The 16,258-nt window shown below is 63.3% G+C and overlaps 3 protein-coding genes across 8 annotated transcripts in view, besides 8 other annotated features; 1 reads left to right on the forward strand and 2 right to left on the reverse strand.

The window, feature by feature from the left end:
- Positions 2,149-2,835: an enhancer, noted in NCBI's record as "H3K4me1 hESC enhancer chr1:1845520-1846206 (GRCh37/hg19 assembly coordinates)". NCBI's record gives its function as "activates a minimal SCP1, AML or CMV promoter by ChIP-STARR-seq in naive H9 embryonic stem cells {active_cell/tissue: H9 hESC(naive)}" and the evidence as "EXISTENCE:reporter gene assay evidence [ECO:0000049][PMID:30033119]".
- CALML6 (calmodulin like 6) lies at positions 3,328-5,364 on the forward strand. 3 transcript variants are annotated; one of them, XM_005244729.4, is made up of 6 exons: positions 3,328-3,441; positions 3,753-3,803; positions 4,509-4,683; positions 4,820-4,964; positions 5,042-5,142; positions 5,215-5,364. In XM_005244729.4, the coding sequence occupies exons 1-6, from the start codon at positions 3,349-3,351 to the stop codon at positions 5,259-5,261; spliced, it is 612 nt and encodes a 203-aa protein (XP_005244786.2). In that variant the 5' UTR covers positions 3,328-3,348; the 3' UTR covers positions 5,262-5,364. The 3 variants fall into 3 exon arrangements, with proteins under 3 accessions (XP_005244786.2, NP_619650.2, NP_001317242.1); NM_138705.4 differs by having other exon boundaries at positions 3,328-3,375; NM_001330313.2 differs by lacking the exon at positions 3,753-3,803 and having other exon boundaries at positions 3,328-3,375.
- Positions 5,365-5,658: 294 nt separating this feature from the next.
- TMEM52 (transmembrane protein 52) lies at positions 5,659-7,347 on the reverse strand. 4 transcript variants are annotated; one of them, NM_178545.4, is made up of 5 exons: positions 7,250-7,347; positions 7,113-7,156; positions 6,961-7,002; positions 6,321-6,499; positions 5,659-6,230 (listed from the first exon to the last, which is right to left on the reverse strand). In NM_178545.4, the coding sequence occupies exons 1-5, from the start codon at positions 7,331-7,333 to the stop codon at positions 5,950-5,952; spliced, it is 630 nt and encodes a 209-aa protein (NP_848640.1). In that variant the 5' UTR covers positions 7,334-7,347; the 3' UTR covers positions 5,659-5,949. The 4 variants fall into 4 exon arrangements, with proteins under 4 accessions (NP_848640.1, XP_047275196.1, XP_047275192.1 ...); XM_047419240.1 differs by lacking the exon at positions 6,961-7,002; XM_047419236.1 differs by having other exon boundaries at positions 7,113-7,347.
- Positions 6,664-7,465: an enhancer, noted in NCBI's record as "H3K27ac-H3K4me1 hESC enhancer chr1:1850035-1850836 (GRCh37/hg19 assembly coordinates)". NCBI's record gives its function as "activates a minimal SCP1, AML or CMV promoter by ChIP-STARR-seq in naive H9 embryonic stem cells {active_cell/tissue: H9 hESC(naive)}" and the evidence as "EXISTENCE:reporter gene assay evidence [ECO:0000049][PMID:30033119]".
- Positions 6,664-7,583: a biological region, named in NCBI's record as "H3K27ac-H3K4me1 hESC enhancer GRCh37_chr1:1850035-1850836".
- Positions 6,944-7,583: a silencer, noted in NCBI's record as "silent region_100". NCBI's record gives its function as "represses an Ori minimal core promoter by ATAC-STARR-seq in GM12878 lymphoblastoid cells {active_cell/tissue: GM12878}" and the evidence as "EXISTENCE:reporter gene assay evidence [ECO:0000049][PMID:35858748]".
- Positions 7,525-8,118: an enhancer, noted in NCBI's record as "H3K27ac-H3K4me1 hESC enhancer chr1:1850896-1851489 (GRCh37/hg19 assembly coordinates)". NCBI's record gives its function as "activates a minimal SCP1, AML or CMV promoter by ChIP-STARR-seq in naive H9 embryonic stem cells {active_cell/tissue: H9 hESC(naive)}" and the evidence as "EXISTENCE:reporter gene assay evidence [ECO:0000049][PMID:30033119]".
- Positions 8,119-8,711: an enhancer, noted in NCBI's record as "H3K27ac-H3K4me1 hESC enhancer chr1:1851490-1852082 (GRCh37/hg19 assembly coordinates)". NCBI's record gives its function as "activates a minimal SCP1, AML or CMV promoter by ChIP-STARR-seq in naive H9 embryonic stem cells {active_cell/tissue: H9 hESC(naive)}" and the evidence as "EXISTENCE:reporter gene assay evidence [ECO:0000049][PMID:30033119]".
- The window catches only part of CFAP74 (cilia and flagella associated protein 74), an 81,830-nt gene continuing 75,596 nt past the window's right edge, over positions 10,025-16,258 (reverse strand). Inside the window, exons 28-39 of the mRNA NM_001304360.2 lie at positions 15,675-15,814; positions 14,962-15,096; positions 14,720-14,829; positions 14,525-14,580; positions 14,296-14,415; positions 13,851-14,006; positions 12,459-12,588; positions 11,843-11,997; positions 11,435-11,567; positions 11,053-11,213; positions 10,657-10,791; positions 10,025-10,456 (exon numbers count right to left, since the gene is read on the reverse strand). Coding sequence (NP_001291289.1) covers positions 10,355-10,456; positions 10,657-10,791; positions 11,053-11,213; positions 11,435-11,567; positions 11,843-11,997; positions 12,459-12,588; positions 13,851-14,006; positions 14,296-14,415; positions 14,525-14,580; positions 14,720-14,829; positions 14,962-15,096; positions 15,675-15,814 — 1,533 coding nt within the window. The 3' untranslated portion in view covers positions 10,025-10,354. The remainder of the gene's footprint in view (positions 10,457-10,656; positions 10,792-11,052; positions 11,214-11,434; positions 11,568-11,842; positions 11,998-12,458; positions 12,589-13,850; positions 14,007-14,295; positions 14,416-14,524; positions 14,581-14,719; positions 14,830-14,961; positions 15,097-15,674; positions 15,815-16,258) is intronic.
- Positions 10,325-10,509: a silencer, noted in NCBI's record as "fragment chr1:1853696-1853880 (GRCh37/hg19 assembly coordinates)". NCBI's record gives its function as "represses an EF-1alpha promoter that drives an FKBP-Casp9 reporter gene in an ReSE screen in K562 erythroleukemia cells {active_cell/tissue: K562}" and the evidence as "EXISTENCE:reporter gene assay evidence [ECO:0000049][PMID:32094911]".
- Positions 11,410-11,910: an enhancer, noted in NCBI's record as "H3K4me1 hESC enhancer chr1:1854781-1855281 (GRCh37/hg19 assembly coordinates)". NCBI's record gives its function as "activates a minimal SCP1, AML or CMV promoter by ChIP-STARR-seq in naive H9 embryonic stem cells {active_cell/tissue: H9 hESC(naive)}" and the evidence as "EXISTENCE:reporter gene assay evidence [ECO:0000049][PMID:30033119]".

Here is a 16,258-nt window from a genome sequence, read left to right on the forward strand (position 1 = left end):
ATATACACAGACGAGAGAGATTTTGAGGAATTGGCCCGTGTGATTGCACTGTAGGCAACCTCCAGGGAAGAGCTGATGTTGCAGCCGTCTGGAGGCAGAATTCCTTCTTCCTTGGGGGACCTCAGTCTTTTCTCTTAAGGTCCTCAACTAACTGGATGCGGCCCCCCCCTACATTATGGAGGGTCATGTGCTTTACCCAAAGTCTACTGATTTAAATACTTTTTCTTTTTTTTTTTGAGGTGGAGTCTCGCTCTGTCTCTCAGGCTGGAGTGCAGTGGCACGATCTCGGCTCACTGCAAGCTCTGCCTCCTTGGGGTTCACGCCATTCTCCTGCCTCAGTCTCCCAAGTAGCTGGGACTACAGGCGCGCACCACCATGCCCAGCTAATTTTTTTATTTTTATTTTTAGTAGAGACGGCATTTCACCATGTTAGCCAGGATGGTCTCGATCTCCTGACCTTGTGATCTCCCTGCCTCGGTCCCCCAAAGTGCTGGGATTACAGGCATGAGCCACCATGCCCGGCCTACTGATTTAAATACTAATCACATCTATGAAACACCTTCATGCCCGCCCATATTCATTGCAGCAGCAGTTCCAACAGCCAAGAGGTGGGAGCACCTAAGTGTTCATCAGCAGATGGTGGATAAACCGAGTGTGGTCCATCCCGAGAATAACATTTTACTCAGCCTTAAAAAAGACGCCTATTCCAGGCCGAGTGCGGTGGCTCATGCCTGTAATCTCAGCACTTTGTGAGGCCCAGGTGGGCGGATCACAAGGTAAGGAGATCGAGACGATCCTGGCTAACACGGTGAAACCCCGTCTCTAGTAAAAGTATAAAAAATTAGCCGGACTTGGTGGTGGGTGCCTGTAGTCCCAGCTACTCGGGAGGCTGAGGCAAGAGAATTGCTTGACCTGGGAGGCAGAGGTTGCAGTGAGCTGAGATCGCGCCACTGCACTCCAGCCTGGAGATAGAGCGGGACTCTGCCTCAAAAAAAAAAAAAAAAAAAAAGTCGAATTCTTTTTTTTTTTTTTGGAGATGGAGTCTCACTCTGTCACCCGGGCTGGGGTGCAGTGGCGCAATCTCGGCTCACTGCATCCTCCACCTCCCAGGTTCAAGCAATTCTCTGCCTCAGCCTCCTGAGTAGCTGGGATTACAGGCACCTGCCACCACGCCCGGCTAATTTTTTTATTTTTTTATTTTTTTTAGTAGAAACAGGGTGTAACCATCTTGGCCAGGCTGGTCTTGAACTCCTGACCTTGTGATCCACCCACCTCGGCCTCCCAAAGTGCTGGGATTACAGGCGTGAGCCACCACACCCGGCCCCCGGAGTCGAATTCTTAAAAACAGAAAGTAGAATAGTGATTGCCATAGGCTGGGGGGCGGGGGGTGGTGGAAGAGGGCAGATGCTGTTTAATGGGGGCGGGGGTCCGTTTTGCAAGGTGAAAGGTTCTAGAGATCTGCTGCATAACTGGGTACGGCCATGAACACAACTGCACTTGCACCTGAACGTGGCTGAGGCAGCATTCTAATTGTTACAGGGTTTTTCTCTTTTTCTGTTTTCTTTTCTTTTCTTTTTTTTTTTTGAGATGGAGTCTCGCTCTGTTGCCCAGGCTGGAGTGCAGTGGCGCGATCTCGCCTCACTGCAAGGTCTGCCTCCTGGGTTCACGCCATTCTCCTGCCTCAGCCTCCGGAGAAGCTGGGACTACAGGTGTCTACCACCACGCCTGGCTAATTTTTTTGTATTTTTTTTAGTACAGTCGGGGTTTCACTGTGTTAGCCAGGATGGTCTCGATCTCCTGACCTCGTGATCTGCCCGCCTCAGCCTCCCAAAGTGCTGGGATTACAGGCGTGAGCCACCGTGCCCAGCCTCTTTTTCTGTTTTCTTATGGAGAATAGCCCTTCGGTGATCAGAAGAGACACAAGAAGGAAAATAAAGATTGGATGAGTCTCAGGTCCTAGAGATACGGGGTATGTCCGAAGGCCACACAGAGGCTGGTCAGCATGAGGAGAGAGGGTTAGAGGGCGAGGACCTGTTCTGCTGCTTGTACTGGGTCTTGGATATGGGTAGAAGCCTAGATGGAGAGGAGAGAGGTTGATGGTGGTTGTGGCCATGTTGCCCCTTCCTACGGGCGGGGCGGGGGGTGTGCCCTCTGCTTTAAGTTGGGCTCCAGGGGTCACAGCTTTGAGTTTCACTCGTAAGCCCATCAGGATGTCTGGAACCTTCAGGGCTGTGGCCCAGGAATGTCAGACGCTGGAAGCCTGGGAACGGAGGAGGCAGAGCCTGCTGTCCACTGGCTGTGAGAGTTGTTGGGGTGGGGACTTGTCCAGGGCCACGAGGCCAGTGCAGTTCTCTGTGTCTCTGTACCCAGCTGGCCTGTACCTGGAGACCCTGAGCCAGAACCCAGGATGGGCCCTGGCCTGGGTGCTGCGGCTCCCTCCATTCTATGCCCCTGGGGGAAGGTGCTCAGTGCGTGAATTGTTCCCTGCCCCAGCCCAGGGGAAAGCTGAGGCCAGGGAGCAGCCAGGATGAAGGTCAGGGCCTCCCTTGGCCCCACCAGACCCAGGGCCGCTTCCCTCCAGCCCCGGCTCCCGTTTGGCTGGAGGTGCCCTGGGCCATTGGCCTGCCCTCGTCAGCGTCAATCTTGCAGTCTCAGCAGCTGGCCTGGGTTTCAGCGGGAGCCATCCTGTAGCTGCAGGTTTGCTGGCAGGCAGAGGGTTGGGCTGGCGGGGGACACTGAGTGCCCCACCTGCTCAGACTCTTCATGCCATCAAGGGGCCAGTCGGGGGGCAGGTGTGAGTGTGACCCTGAGGGCCCTGACCTGCCACTGCAATCCTCACACTCTTGCCTGGGTGGGGCAGGGAGGAGCTGGACCCTGGCTTTGGGAGTCTGGTGGGTAATTAGACCCAGACAGGGAGGGCTCAGTGCGGGTCTGAGGAGGGAACACACGTGTGCAGGCGTGTGCTCCACGGTGGCATGTTGATACGGACCAGCCTGGGCACCAGGCCCCCTCGGGAGCCAGCTTTGCTGTTCTGAGTGGAAGGGAGATCAGGTTTCCCTGAGAAACCCCAAAATAGCCCCCAACTGTGCCTGGCTTCCAGCGGGCAGCCCAGCCCCCAGGCCCTGTTTTGCTCCCTTTCCCCCTTCACCCCCAGCCCATGTCCTGCTGTCTCCTCCCTGAATGGTGGACCCTCAGCCCCTCCTGTACAAGATGGTCAAGCGGTGCCTCATGCATTTGTTCATTCGACCTGTCCTGAGAGTTTGTGACATGCTGGCACGGGGCCAATGTTGAGTCCACCAGGATGGGAGGGTGGCCAGGCTCTGAGCCACTGAGCACCAGCTGGCCAGGATGGGTCTTCAACAAGAAATCTCACTGGTAAGTGATGACAGCATGGGACCAGGGTCCCATGAAGACCTGCTGGAGGGCCGCACCTCTGGGAAGGTAGACTTGGAGCTTGGTCCAGTGAAGAGGGAACAGCACGGGGAACAGCGTGTGTGAGGGTCCCGCCATGTCTCAGCCCTTTCCTGGCCCCCGCACTTAGCCTTCGGTGCCCATCTTCAGGGTCAGGGGAAGCCCAGGCCAAAGCGGGCCGGGAAGGGGCCCTGTGGATAAGGCCGAGAGCCTGTCCCAAAATAGGGCCGGCAGGATTTCCCACCCATAAAAGGCTCTTGGAATCTGGACCCCGGGGACCCCAGGCAGCCAGGCCCAGCTAAAACTCAGCTGCCACCACTGCCCCAGCACTCTGCCCACAGCAGCCCTGGTGTCACCACCCTGCAGAATCCTGTCAGACAACCACCGACATGGTAAGGCTGCTCTCTGTGCCCGATGGAGTCTCTGGTGGGCTGGCTGGGTAGGTTGAGCTGGAACCTGGAGGTGCAATGACCTGCCACGGAGCCTGGGCAGGAAGGGGCTGAGGTAGAAGAGGGGGCCAAGCCCTGCTGCCACCAACACAGCCCTTGTTCCGGGGCCAGGGTGGAGCAGCCCTTTCTGAAAGCTGGCTCCCAGATGGGCAGCAGCAGTGGTGGCAGGCAGGTGTGGCCCGGTGCTGGACTCTCCCTCCGGAATGCCACACAGGCTGGAGCCCAGGGTTCTGCTTCCTGGGCTGTATCCCAATCCTGGGCTGGAAGCCTTTCCCGGGCCAGGGCTGGGCTCCTCCCCACCCTGCTCTCGGCTTCCTTCACCTGCCTCACCTGGTGTCCATTGCCAGGCTCCAGGGCCGCTGCCTGGCCCGCCTGGCCCTGCAGCTGCTGCTGTTCCCTCGCACGCTGGCTCCTGCCTGTCTGGCCCTTGCCCCTGTTAGCTGCCTGGCAGAGCCCTGCTGGCCCTGCAAACCCCTGGCGTGTGACCCCTTGTCCTGGAAGCCTGCTCTCCGCTGGGGGCCTCCTCTCTTACCACTCACCTTGAAAGGCTGCCAATGGAGGAATGGGTGCAGGGGGTACCTCTGACCCTTCCCTGGACACAGGGGCAGAAGGGGCTCCTGGTCAGGCCGGTGCGGGTGTCCCCTGCAGACAGAGCGCCTGTCGGCTGAGCAGATCAAGGAGTACAAGGGAGTCTTTGAGATGTTCGACGAAGAGGGCAACGGGGAGGTGAAGACGGGGGAGCTGGAGTGGCTCATGAGCCTGCTGGGTATCAACCCCACCAAGAGTGAGCTGGCCTCAATGGCCAAGGATGTGGACAGAGACAGTGAGCTCATGGCTGGAGTGGGGTGGGCAGCCTCGGGGGGGCCCTGGGTCAGGTGTCAGTGCCTACGGGGGGAAGAGGCAAAGCCCATGGGGAGTGCTGTGCCCCATCCCTTGAGCCCCAGCTGTGCCCCTTGCAGACAAAGGGTTCTTCAACTGCGATGGTTTCCTGGCACTAATGGGAGTTTACCATGAGAAGGCCCAGAACCAGGAGAGCGAGCTGAGGGCGGCATTCCGTGTCTTTGACAAAGAGGGCAAGGGCTACATTGACTGGAACACACTCAAGTAGGGCCCGGGTTGGGGGCGGGTGGTGGGCGGGCACGGGCAGGGCCGATGGAGTGGCTCAGCGCCAGGCCCCGTAGGTACGTGCTAATGAACGCAGGGGAGCCCCTCAACGAGGTGGAGGCGGAGCAGATGATGAAGGAGGCCGACAAGGATGGGGACAGGACCATCGACTATGAGGGTGAGTGGCCTGGAGCCCTGGGAGCCGTTGGCTGGGCCGGGGCAAGCTGCTGACCTGCCCCTCTGTTCCCAGAGTTTGTGGCCATGATGACGGGGGAGTCCTTCAAGCTGATCCAGTAGGTGCAGCTGCCGCAGCCGGGGGAGGCCTGCCCGGGAAGGCTGCTGCCCCTGCCCCCTGGCCCCCACTCCCCCGGCTCCGTGTAAAATAAATGTTCCAGCCCAACCTGTGTGTGCCTCACTGTCCCAGCCTGGGTTGGGGGGCAACAGGCAAAGGCGTGGGGCTGGAGAAGGAAAAGAGTTTTCCTGGCCCAGTCACAGAAACAGCCCCAGTCATTTCTGCCACGACACCTGACACCACCCATTGCCCAGCTCAGGGCTAGGAATGCCAGCCTGAAACCTGGACTGGGTACAGGCCGGGGACCACACGCTCGCCCTTCCTGCTTGCACTGGGGGTTGGCTGCCCAAGGGTTCCTCCCAGAGCCCTGGAGTCCCAGAGTCCTTCCCACATAGGCAGAGACCACTTAAATACAAACTTTATTCTCTCTCCAAGAAGATGCAGACGTCACAGGTGGCCCTGAGCTCCCACCCGAGGCTTAGGCCCAAGGGGCCTCTTCCAGGCTGAGGGCCTGCTGGGGCTGGGCCAGGGGCTGAGGCTGAAAGCAGCAGCCTGCCTAGTGGGTGACGCCAGGGGCCGGTGTAACATGGCACCGAGGTTGGGGCCACAGCAATGTGTGGGACGGTGGGGTGGGCTGGGGCCCTTGGCTCCAAGCATTAGTTCTCCAAGCTCTGGTCCGTTCTCCTACCTCCTTCAAGGGGCACCAGGGCTACAAGGTGGTAGTTGAGTATTGGGGCCCGACTCCTGGGGCACTGGAGTGGTCTCTAGGCCCGAGGCCCCAAGGAGAGGGCTGGGTTTCTGGGAGAGTGCTGGTCCTTCCTCTCTGGGCTTGGCCATCTTGACAGCTTCATCGTAGGAGGGTGGAGGCTCCGGGGTGTACAGGCTGTAGGCAGGAGGAGCCATGGAGTCCAGGTCCAGCTCCCCAAAGGGCAGGGGCAACCGCATGCCCAGTGGGTACTGCACGGAGCTGTAGGCTGCAGGGAACCAGAGTGGGTTCGTGGAGGCGGGCTTGGCATTTACCCCCGCCATCTCCACCCTCAACTGGCGGGCCCCTAGGCACTCACAGGTCACAGTGCTGTGTACAGGGCTGTCACTGTCCATAGGGATGACTGCCACGTCGCAGGGCTGCCGTGCTGGTGGCAGATGTGGCTGGGCCTGTGCCTGCTTCCGGAGGCAGCAGAACCGGACACAACCAGCTGTGACACCACACAGCAGAAGCAGGAGGACCGCCAGCAGGATGAGCCTAGGAGAGCAAGGCTCTACCACTGGACTGACCCTCGGCCACCGGGCACCTGCACCCTGGGGAATGTCGTGGCACAACCACCGAAGACAGGTTAACAGGATAAAAAGCAGACAATGTCTCTCCATGTCGGAGACCGCCGTGGCCAGAGCCTGGCCTCGGGCTGCTGGGCCTGCCCTGGCTATCTCTCCTGGGCTGGCCAGGGGTGGCCTTGGGCTCACTCCCAGGACTCGCTGTCCTCAGCGAGTGCCCCACTGCTGAGCGGGATCGTAGGGGACTCCCGCGGAGGCCAGGCGGGAGAGGTGGGAGGGAAGGTCCTGCTTGCTCCAGGTCAGTTCCCGCCAGCGGCCGGGACTGGGCGACAGCGGAGGCGGCCTGGTGAGGTAAGGGCCTGGCGGGCCTGGCCCCGGTGACCCCCGCCCCAGAACCGTCGGACGCACGGCTCCGCCGCGGCCTCCACTTACCCCACGTGCCACAGGCTGCTCCAGCGGGCCTGGGGCGGGCACCTGTGGGGACGGCGGCACCTGGAGCAGGCGGGGCATGGGACGGCCGACCTCGCCACCCGTGCCTCCCCATAGGGCGGGGCCAGGCCCCGGCTCCCTCCCCCCCGACTTACTGGTCCGAGGGGTCGCAGCTGCCGTCCGCGAAGCCCAGCGCCACCTGTGGGGACAAGGGTGAGCCCGGGAGGGGCGTGGTCCGAGCAGGGACCCGCCCCGCGGTGGCCGAACCGAGAGAGAACGCCGCCCGACCCACCTGCGGCAGCGGCAGGAGCGGCAGGAGCGGCAGGAGCGGCAGCAGCAGCCGCAGTCCGCGGGCGGCCAGCGGCCCCCGGGCCATGCTCTGAGGAGGTTGGAGCAAAGCCCGGCGGCGCGGCTTTATGGGGCCCCGCCCACCACAGGACACACCCACCACATGACACGCCCACAGAACGCCCGCTCAGAGTAAACCCCGCCCACCGGGCCCCGCTGGCCGCAGGCCCCGCCCACAGGCGCACACGCCTACTGGACGCCCCACGCAGGGTAAACCCCGCCCTCCGGGCACCGCCCAGAGCAAACCGCGTTCGTCGCAGGCCTCGCCCACAGGACGCCTCACGCAGCATAAACCCCGCCCACTGGGCCCCGCCCAGTGCAAGCCTTGTTCGCCGCAGGCCCCGCCCACAGGAGCCCTCGCCCACGAGACGCCCCCATTCGCTGGGCCTCCACTCAATGCAAACCCCGCCCACTGGCCCCATGCCCAACGTAAGCCTCGCCCACCATACCCCGCTCAGCGCAATCCCCTCCCACTGGGCCACGCCCAACGTGTTCAGAGGGCTTGTCCGCCACAAGCCCTACCCCGCAGCTCCACCTGGCCCAGACTCGTGAGGCGACGGTGGGTCTCGTCCTCAGCCCGGGCACGGCGCCTTAACCTCGGCCGAGCGTGGCCTGCTCTGCTGCTGGTCTGGGCGTGGCCCGGGGACCCTCGGGAGCTGGCCTGGAAAGTCGTGGCTGCCTTGGGTGTGGTCCCTCGGGTCCAGTCTCGCAGGCGGGCTCCAGGTGGACTGTAGGGTAACGCCACCAAGATGCTGGGCATCCCGAACTTGGTGTTTGGACACTTGATTGTGGACCTGCGCTGCAGGCGCTGTCTGGGGGCTGGCCCAGGGGGCTGGAGCCTGGCCCTGGCTCTGGGCTGTTGAGGCGCTGGGTGCAGACCACTTTCCCAAAGCACTTGGCCTTGGGGGCCATGCCCCACCTGGGGAATGTGACCTCCATTCCCGAGGGCCACAGGGAGCCCAGTGCCCTTCCCTCAGCCTGCAATGTCTGCTGCTCCCTGTGCAGGGGCAGGCCTGGGGCCATTTCTTCCAGGGGGACCCCAGACCCTTATCCCTCTGCCACCAGGCCAGGGGCCCTGTTAGGCTCTTGGTGCCCTCTGCTCCCCGTGGGACCAACAGCACACCGTCTCTCTGGTGGTCAGGCTAAGGGAGGTGGTCAGCACAGCAAGGGGCAGGGTCCATCTTACTGCAGGAGGGGCATGCACCCCTTGCTCAGAACTGTTCCACATGTGGGCGCTGCTCAGTGTCCCCCACCCCTACCACAAGGGCAGTGACCCTGGAGGGCAGGGCCTCCTCTGCGTGGCTCTTCTGCCCATACCTGCCCCTTCACTGCATCACTCCTTCCACTGTTGGGCTCTGCCTGAAGTTGCCTTTCACCTCCCAAGGCCTGTGCCACGGTCCTCAAGGGCCCTTCCTGCCTGCCCAGCTCCCCCAGCCCCTGGCCCTTCTTCCTGCCACATTGACTGCACTGGTCGTGGAGGCCCAGCACGGGAGTGGGAATGGGAGTGCATGTGCACAGCACAGCCTGAGGCCACAGCCCCGAGTTCCGGAAGGTGTGGGCACGGCCCCCACGCAGGAGCTGGGCGGGCCTCGCCACTCAGTACCAGAGGCCTGCCAGCAGGAGAGTCGGGTCAGGGTTTAGAAGAGAGGGGCCTATTCAGGAAACATTGCCATCCAGTAGCACCTCCTCCTGCGGCCGGGGCCTGGCCTGGACCTGGCGGAACCTGCCTTCCCCTCCCATCTGGTGTGGCGCAAGCTTGAGCCATGGTGGGTCGGCCGCAGGAAGGGCAGCAAGGGACCCATTGGACAGAAATCCTGCAAAACGCCACTGCGGGGTCAATGTCACTGGCTTGAAGTTTGGGGCAATGGCAAGTTCCTAGGCACTGTGGGCCCTGGGGGGCTGGGGGTGAGGGCAGGCAGCTCAAGACCGGCGTCCCTGAGGCCTGTGCCCAGGAAAGCTCCCAGAAGCACCATCTGCTCCCCCGACCCGGCCAGGGAAGGCTGCGTACAGTCTGCTGGTGGCTGCTGGTTGGGGTGGCACAGTGGGTGTGCTGCACTGACAGGAGGGCCAGGCTGGGTGGGCTCTGTGGGGACAGCGTCCAACAAGCCAGACTCCAGAGGGCAGGGTTGGGGTGCAGGCACCACTCTGAGCTTCAGGAGCATCTCACGGGCTGCGAGGGGTCTTCTCTGTTGAAGGGTGGGTCAGAGCCCAGAAAGCCGAGCCCAGACTTATCTCAGACAAATAGAGACTTCAGTGCAGGAGCTGGGCCTCACCTGGCCCCTGCTGGGTGGAGGGGAGGGCATGAGTAGGCTGGGGGGTCCCCACCGTCTGCTCACCTTTGCTTGGGGTCATCCGGGGTCCTGGAACTTGGGAAAAGTCTGGAGGTTCCCGGGGCCTGCCCTGGGCTTTGCAGCCCTGCCCTCCCCACCACCCAGGCCCCTCGGTTCTGGGTCAGCCTCAGCTCTAGCTGTACCCCGGCCCTCTGGGCTGCCTGCTGCTGCTCAGGGTGCCAGGCTTGGGGGCTCTCCTTGAATTTGGGTCAGGGTGGCCTCCCCACAGGTGTCCTGCAGGATGGCCCCACTCTAGGAGGCCCTTGCCAGGCAAAGCGGGTGTCATGGCTGTGAGGGGAGGGGCTGCTTCCCCAGGGCTCTGTCCCCACCTCCCATTCTGTGCTCACCCCAGGGAATAACCTGCTGTCACCCACACTGCAGGCTGCATGTGTTGGCCTACAAAAAATTTATTGACAGGCTGTGGAGGGCTCTCCTGGGGGCTGGGGGCTCTGAGGGGGTCTGGCTAGGATGGCTGAGGGCTGGCCTGGCCTTCTCGCTGCTTCTGAGTCTGGGGTCTCAGGAGGGGTGCTCTTGGATGTCCCTGGGCTTGCGGGGTCCAGGGCAGCAGGAAGTGGCCGTGGCGCCATGTGGAGGGCGGCCTATTGGAATCTGGCAGAGGATGGCCAGGTCCCAGGCTCTAGGGTAGTATGACCTGGCCCTCAGCCTGGGGAGGGCTTTGAGGGTGGACAGGAGGGCCCGAGGGTGCTCTGTGCAGAGGCTTAGGGGCCAGTCAACACCTGGGCTACAAAGATGACCTTGTAGGTCTCCTTCACATCCCCCCTTAGCTGCAGCAGGGCCGACACCATGAGTGGGTGGTCTGGCTGGAACAGGAGGGGAGGGGAGAAGAGGCCTTCAGTCAGTGGGCACCCAGAGGAGATCTGCTGTCTTCCCACTGCCCTGCCCACCTGACTCCCTTGGGTCCTCCACGGCCACCTCCTCCCCTGGGACTGGGCAGGGGTGTCAGCCCACCCAGCCTTTGGCGTTCCCAGGGCTCCCTGGCCTGGAGCCCAAAGGCACCTACATCAAAGTCCGCAGGTGGCACCCAGGAGATGCTGATGGTCTTCGTCTGGCCGCGCTCCACGGAGCCCCTGGAGGGCTCAATAGAGAAACCCTTGTGCTGCAGGGATGCGACGCTGTCTATGCTGAACTCAACGGTCTGTGGGGTATGGGGCTCCTGTAGGCTGGCGACCAGGCACCGCTCCCAGAAGCAGTGGGACTAGGGGTGAGGGTGCCCAGCTCCACTCACCCTCCCAGCTCTGACCAGGCTGCCCACCCCACAGCTGCCACAGGAAGTCCGAGAAAAGCCCGGCTGTCAGGACAAGCCCAGTGAGGGGCAAGGCCAGGAGGGTCAGGGCTGCCCAGGGCAGGGGAGGCCGAGGGGGCTGCCTGGTGTCCCCAGGGGCAGTGCTGTGGGCACCTTCTTTGGAGATGGCTGGGTGGTCCGGATACAGCCCACCTGCAGCTCTCGGGTGGCAGGTGGGGCTGGCGTGTCTGTGTCAAACTGGATGTAGTCCAGGGTCACCAGGATGGGCCTCAGCTCCTCAGCTTCTGGAGAGAGAGGGCCTGGCCGGGAGCTGGCTGGAGGGGTGTGGCCAGGGGAGCTGTTCAGGGTCAGGCTGAGGCATGGGGTGAGGCTGCAGCTGGACTCCTGAACTCTGGTTAGCAGTGGCTGTCCTGCTTGGCTCTGGGGTAGAAGGCTGGGAATCCCTGCCCTGCTCCGCTGGGTCTCGGGGCCCCCATCCACGGGACAGGGGCACCGGGAGGCCCCGTGTCTGTTCCCTCCCTGGGGAGGGGCTCACCCTCTCTGTGCCTGGGGTCAAATACAGGGATCGCTGTCAGAGACTCCACGGGCACGTCCAGGGGGTCGCCGCCCTCCACGAACATCATGTGCTGACAGGCGGCACCCTTCAGCAGGATCTGGTGGGAGATTTTCTGGGGACAAGAAGTGGAGTGGCCTTGTCCCCGAAGCTCGGCGGCAGGGGTCCTGCTGGTGAGAGCTGGGCTGGCTCAGGGAAGGAAGCAGGGACGGCCTGGGGGCCCCGTGGGGCCCTGGACTCTGGTCTTTCCACTGACGGCCCTCAGTGTGGTGCTGAGTCCCCCAGCCATGGTACCCTCAGGGCCTCCAAAGTGGAGCAGTGCAGCCAAAGGCAAGGCCCTGCGTGGGGCCAGGGCCGGGCCGGGCTGAGCTTGCAGAGCCAGAGCCGCACCTTTTCAAAGAGCACCACCTGGAGCTTGTCGGAGAAGTAGAGGCTTTCGTGGTCGGGGCTGAAGGTGACAGTGAAGTCTTGTGTCTTCCCGGGGTCCATGACGCCCTTGACGGGGGCCACGCTGAACACGCTCTGACCGTTGAGATTCTGCGTCCCTGCGGGTAGGGTGGGGTGCAGTTTGGCCTTCTCCACCTGCAATCACTGTCTGCCCTCCAAGCCTTGCTGCATAGAGCTCTACACCCTGCCCGCCCCCCTGCAGAGCCCCTGTCCTGCCCGGTCCCCCCAATGGCCTTGCGCCCCCCACTCCTCCCATGGATCCAAGCGCCCACCCCCCCCATCTCACCAACCGCCCCCTCCAGCTCACTGCCCACCCCCCCAGCTCACCGCCCACCCCCCACCTCACCAACTGCCCCCCACCCAGCTCACCGCCCGTGCCCGCCAGCTCACCGACCACCCCCCTCCAGCTCACCACCCGCCCCTGCCAGTTCACCGCCCGCAGCCCATCTCATTGCCCAGCCCCCTATCTCACCAACTGTCCCCCTCCAGGCCACTGCCTACTCCCCCAGCTCACCGCCCACCCCCGCAGCTCACCACCCACCCCCCACCCCCCGCTCACCGACCACCTCCGTCCTCTGGGAGGGCGAGCTGAGGAACTGCGGCAGCTGCTGCTGGCCCCGGCCCCGGGTGCTGGAGAGGCTGTCCAGGTGCATGGAGAACTTGATGGGGAGCAGAGAGTTGTTCTGCAGCTGCAGAGAGCAGGCCGCGGTCACTGCCCGCCAGCCCCTGCCTGGCTGCCCCCTTCCTGTCGTCGGTGCCCAGGACTTGGCTGGTGCTATGAGGCCACACCCAAGTGGGGACCCGGGTGGCCTGATGACGCCAGCACACGTGGCGGTTTATTGAGCTGTGTGCCAACATCCCTTCTTCCAGCCTCTCATCAGCCTTTGCTAGGCCGGGGCTCGGCTTCCCTGCCTAGGGTGCGTGGACAGCTCTGGGGTGTCACCTGTCCTCCAGGGCGCCTGAGTCTCGCTCAGGCCCAGCTTAGCTGAACCCACGTCCCCACCTGTGTCCTCCCTGCCCTCACCCCCTCTCCTTAGAGCACCCTTTCTCCATGCAACGCCCGTCTCGGGCTCTGCCTCCAGGACCCGCCCTGAGCCAGGCGGAGAAGCAGGTGTCCCTCCCGGACCCACACTCGTGCGAAGGCATGAGGGCACACGCTGGTGCGAAGGCATGAGGGCACACGCTGGTGTGAAGGCATGAGGGCACACACTGGTCCAAAGGCATGAGGGCACACACTGGTGCGGAGGCATGAGGGCACACACTGGTGCGAAGGCATGAGGGCACACGCTGGTGCGAAGGCATGAGGGCACGCAGGGCAGGGCGAAGGCATGAGGGCACGCAGGGCAGGGCGAAGGCATGAGGGCACATGGGGCAGCGTGAAGGCATGAGGGCACACGCTGGTGTGAAGGCATGAGGGCACACAGGGCAGCGCGAAGGCACGAGGGCACACGCTGGTGCAAAGGCATGAGGGCACACGCTGGTGTGAAGGCATGAGGGCACACGCTGGTGTGAAGGCATGAGAGCACACAGGGCAGTGCGAGGCATGAGAGCACGCAGGGCAGTGCGGCTCACTGCAGAGGGCTGCAAACCCTTGCCCCCGGTGGCTGAGCTGAGCTCCAAAGGAGTGAGTTCAAGCAGCAGGGCAGGGGGTGGGTGGTGGGTGGGGGAGCTCTGTGCAGGGGCTGAGGAGGAGGGACAAAGAGCGCCAAGGAGGACAGGGAGGTGGGGAGGACTAGGGGACATCTGCAGCCTCCCCAGAAACAGGCCCCGGGTTCCCTGCAGGAGAGGGCGGCAGAGGCGGCAGCTGTGTAGAGGAGGGGTAGAGGGGGCCACCTGTGTCCCCACGGGCTCTCCGACCCACGGGTCACTTTTGACAGCTGGCCTGAGTCCTGCCTGGTGGAAACCCCTCCTGGGAGGCTGGAGCCAGCACCAGGGCCCACGTGTGCTTCACCTTGAAGCCTGAGGACACAGACTCTCCGGCAATCACATAGCCCATGTTGAGGACGCTGCCTTCAATGGAGCACGTGATCATGGACGCCACGCCAGTGCCCATGAGGGTGAGGGTGAGCGTGCCTCTCTTGGTGATGATGTCCAGTGTTTCTTGAGCCTAAAGAGACCACATCGCTCAGCCAGGAACCGATGTCTGCTGGAGCCACGAGGGGAGCTCTGCCTCAGGGGCAGTGGGTTCTCAACGCTGGAGTTGAGACAGCTCTGGGGGGGCTCTGTCAGCTCCGCTCACTTGGCGGCTGGTGTGAGGGCCTGGGGGCCAGGCTGCTCGCAGACCCAGGCTTAGTCCCAGGCCTGAGCACAGGTGATGCCCGCCCCGGCCAGTGCCTTTGTTCTGCAGTGTGGGGAGCCTTGGGCCGCAGTGTGGCCAGGGTGGGCCTGGGACTCACCAGGATGCTCTCGTGGGGAGAGAAGGAAAGCACCAGGACCTGGGTCCCACCTGCACGCAGCAGGCTGGAGTGGTTCAGCAGGACAAAGGGGCCGTTGGGGTTCAGCAGGGAGAAGTCCAGCTGAGGGTCCACGTCAAGGAGGGGATACAGGTGTCTGCAGGCTCTACCACGCCCTCCCCGGTCCCCGCTCCCACCCCGCAGGCCGCCTGAGCTGGGTGGACAAGGACACGGCCAGATCCTCGGGAGAGACGTTCTGGATGGAGATCTTCTTGATACTGCGGTGCCCTGAAATGGGGCAGGGAGCGTCAGGCCCCAGCCCCAGGCCCCAGGGAGCGTCTCTGCCAGGGGTGGGCCGTGGGGCTGGGGGAGGCGTGGGTGTGCCTGGGCACCGGGGTGGAGGTGTGGGCGGGGCTTAGCGTCTCACCCACAGCGACGTCGCCGAAGTTAAAGATGGTCTTGCCTTTATGGGACGTCACCACAACAGATGGTGCCACCGTCGGGCACCACAGCTCCAGGTACAGGGTGTTGTGGGGGCTGGGATAGGAAGGGCATGCTGAGGGCAGGGTGGGCGGCCCCCTGCCCGCCCAGGCCCCAGAGTTGGGCAGTAGCAGAGGGACAGCGCGTTTGCGGCTGACCACACCCTGTTCTGGCCAGAGCACCCCGCACCTGAAGCTCAGGGGTTCTGACCCCTTCCTGTCTTTGATGTCGCCACTGGCAACAACACAGGGAACTACAAATGTGTCAAACTTCGCCTGGAACGCTCTGAGCAGGGTGGCTCGGGCGGCCTGGTACTCGTCGGAACTAGAAGGAAGTCAGAGGCTTGCGCTCCCGCCTTGCCCCCACCCACCATCGGCCCAGGCCGGACCCCTGCGGCTCTGCCTCAGGGTCCCAGGGTCCCAGGGTCCCAAGCTGTGGCTGTCCCAGTTGTGTCTGACAAACTGGCTTTTCCACCCTTCTCTGGCTCCTGTGGGGGTCTCATCACTCACTTCAGGTCCTCGTCAGCTGGTGGCTGGAGGCTAGGGGTTGGGGCAGGTGCCTTTGGCCCCTGGCTAGAGAGCCATGTTCCTTCCCGGGGCCACAGGCACCCATTAGAGCTTTCCCAGGGCTCATTCTGCACCCGGGGGGCTGGGTGGGGGGTGGTGGCTTTGCTCCCCACCCGTGGATTGAGGCTGTGTGCAGGGGTGTCAGGCCTGGGGAAATGGGGTGGGTAGGTCCCAGGAAGGCAGCACCTGGATCCAGCTGTGTCTGAAGGCATCAGTCCTTCCAGCCACATGGGTCATTCCGGGCAATCTGTAGGGAGGGGACTCTACAGGGGCCACAGTGGGTCCCACCAGAGGGGCCTGGAGGGAAGCAGGTGGGGCAGCCCCTCCTGGACCCACCTGGGCCTCAGCTCCCGCTTCCGCATCTCCAGGACGTGGGGGACAGAGACTTTGAACAGCTTGTCGCGGTTCTGTGCTCGAAGAACGGAGAATGACAGTCCATGCAGGTCCTTCCTCTGGGGGGCCATATTCTTTCGGAACTGTGGGGGGAGCGACTGGCTGTGGGGCTGTGCAGGGCCCTAAACACAGCCAGCTGTGCCCCGTGGCTCCTCTGCGGCCAGTGCGGGAACCGCGGGAGCCGCAGTTGGGATTGAATGTGGGGACGCAAAAGCCGACCGGCGCCCGAGGAAGACAGTAGCCAGTGCGGAGGGGCACACAGACCCCCACAGAGCTGCTCACAGACTGTGGCGTCTGCTTCACCAGAGGATAAACCGAGGCACGGAGTGAGGAGGCGGCCAGAACCGGGGTCCCCACCCTGGTGCCTTCCCCTATCTTCACCGCGGAAGGCCGAAGGCAAGTGCTTCCCCTCGAGTGCACGCCCAGGAGGAACCCAGGCCGGGAAAGGCAAACCCTTGGGAGGAAGCCAGGCCGGGAAGGGCAAACCCTTGGGAGGAAGCCAGGCCGGGAAGGGCAAACCCTTGGGA

The sequence above is a fragment of the Homo sapiens genome, chromosome 1, assembly GCF_000001405.40.
Source record: "Homo sapiens chromosome 1, GRCh38.p14 Primary Assembly".
Classification (NCBI taxonomy): Eukaryota; Metazoa; Chordata; class Mammalia; order Primates; family Hominidae; genus Homo; species Homo sapiens.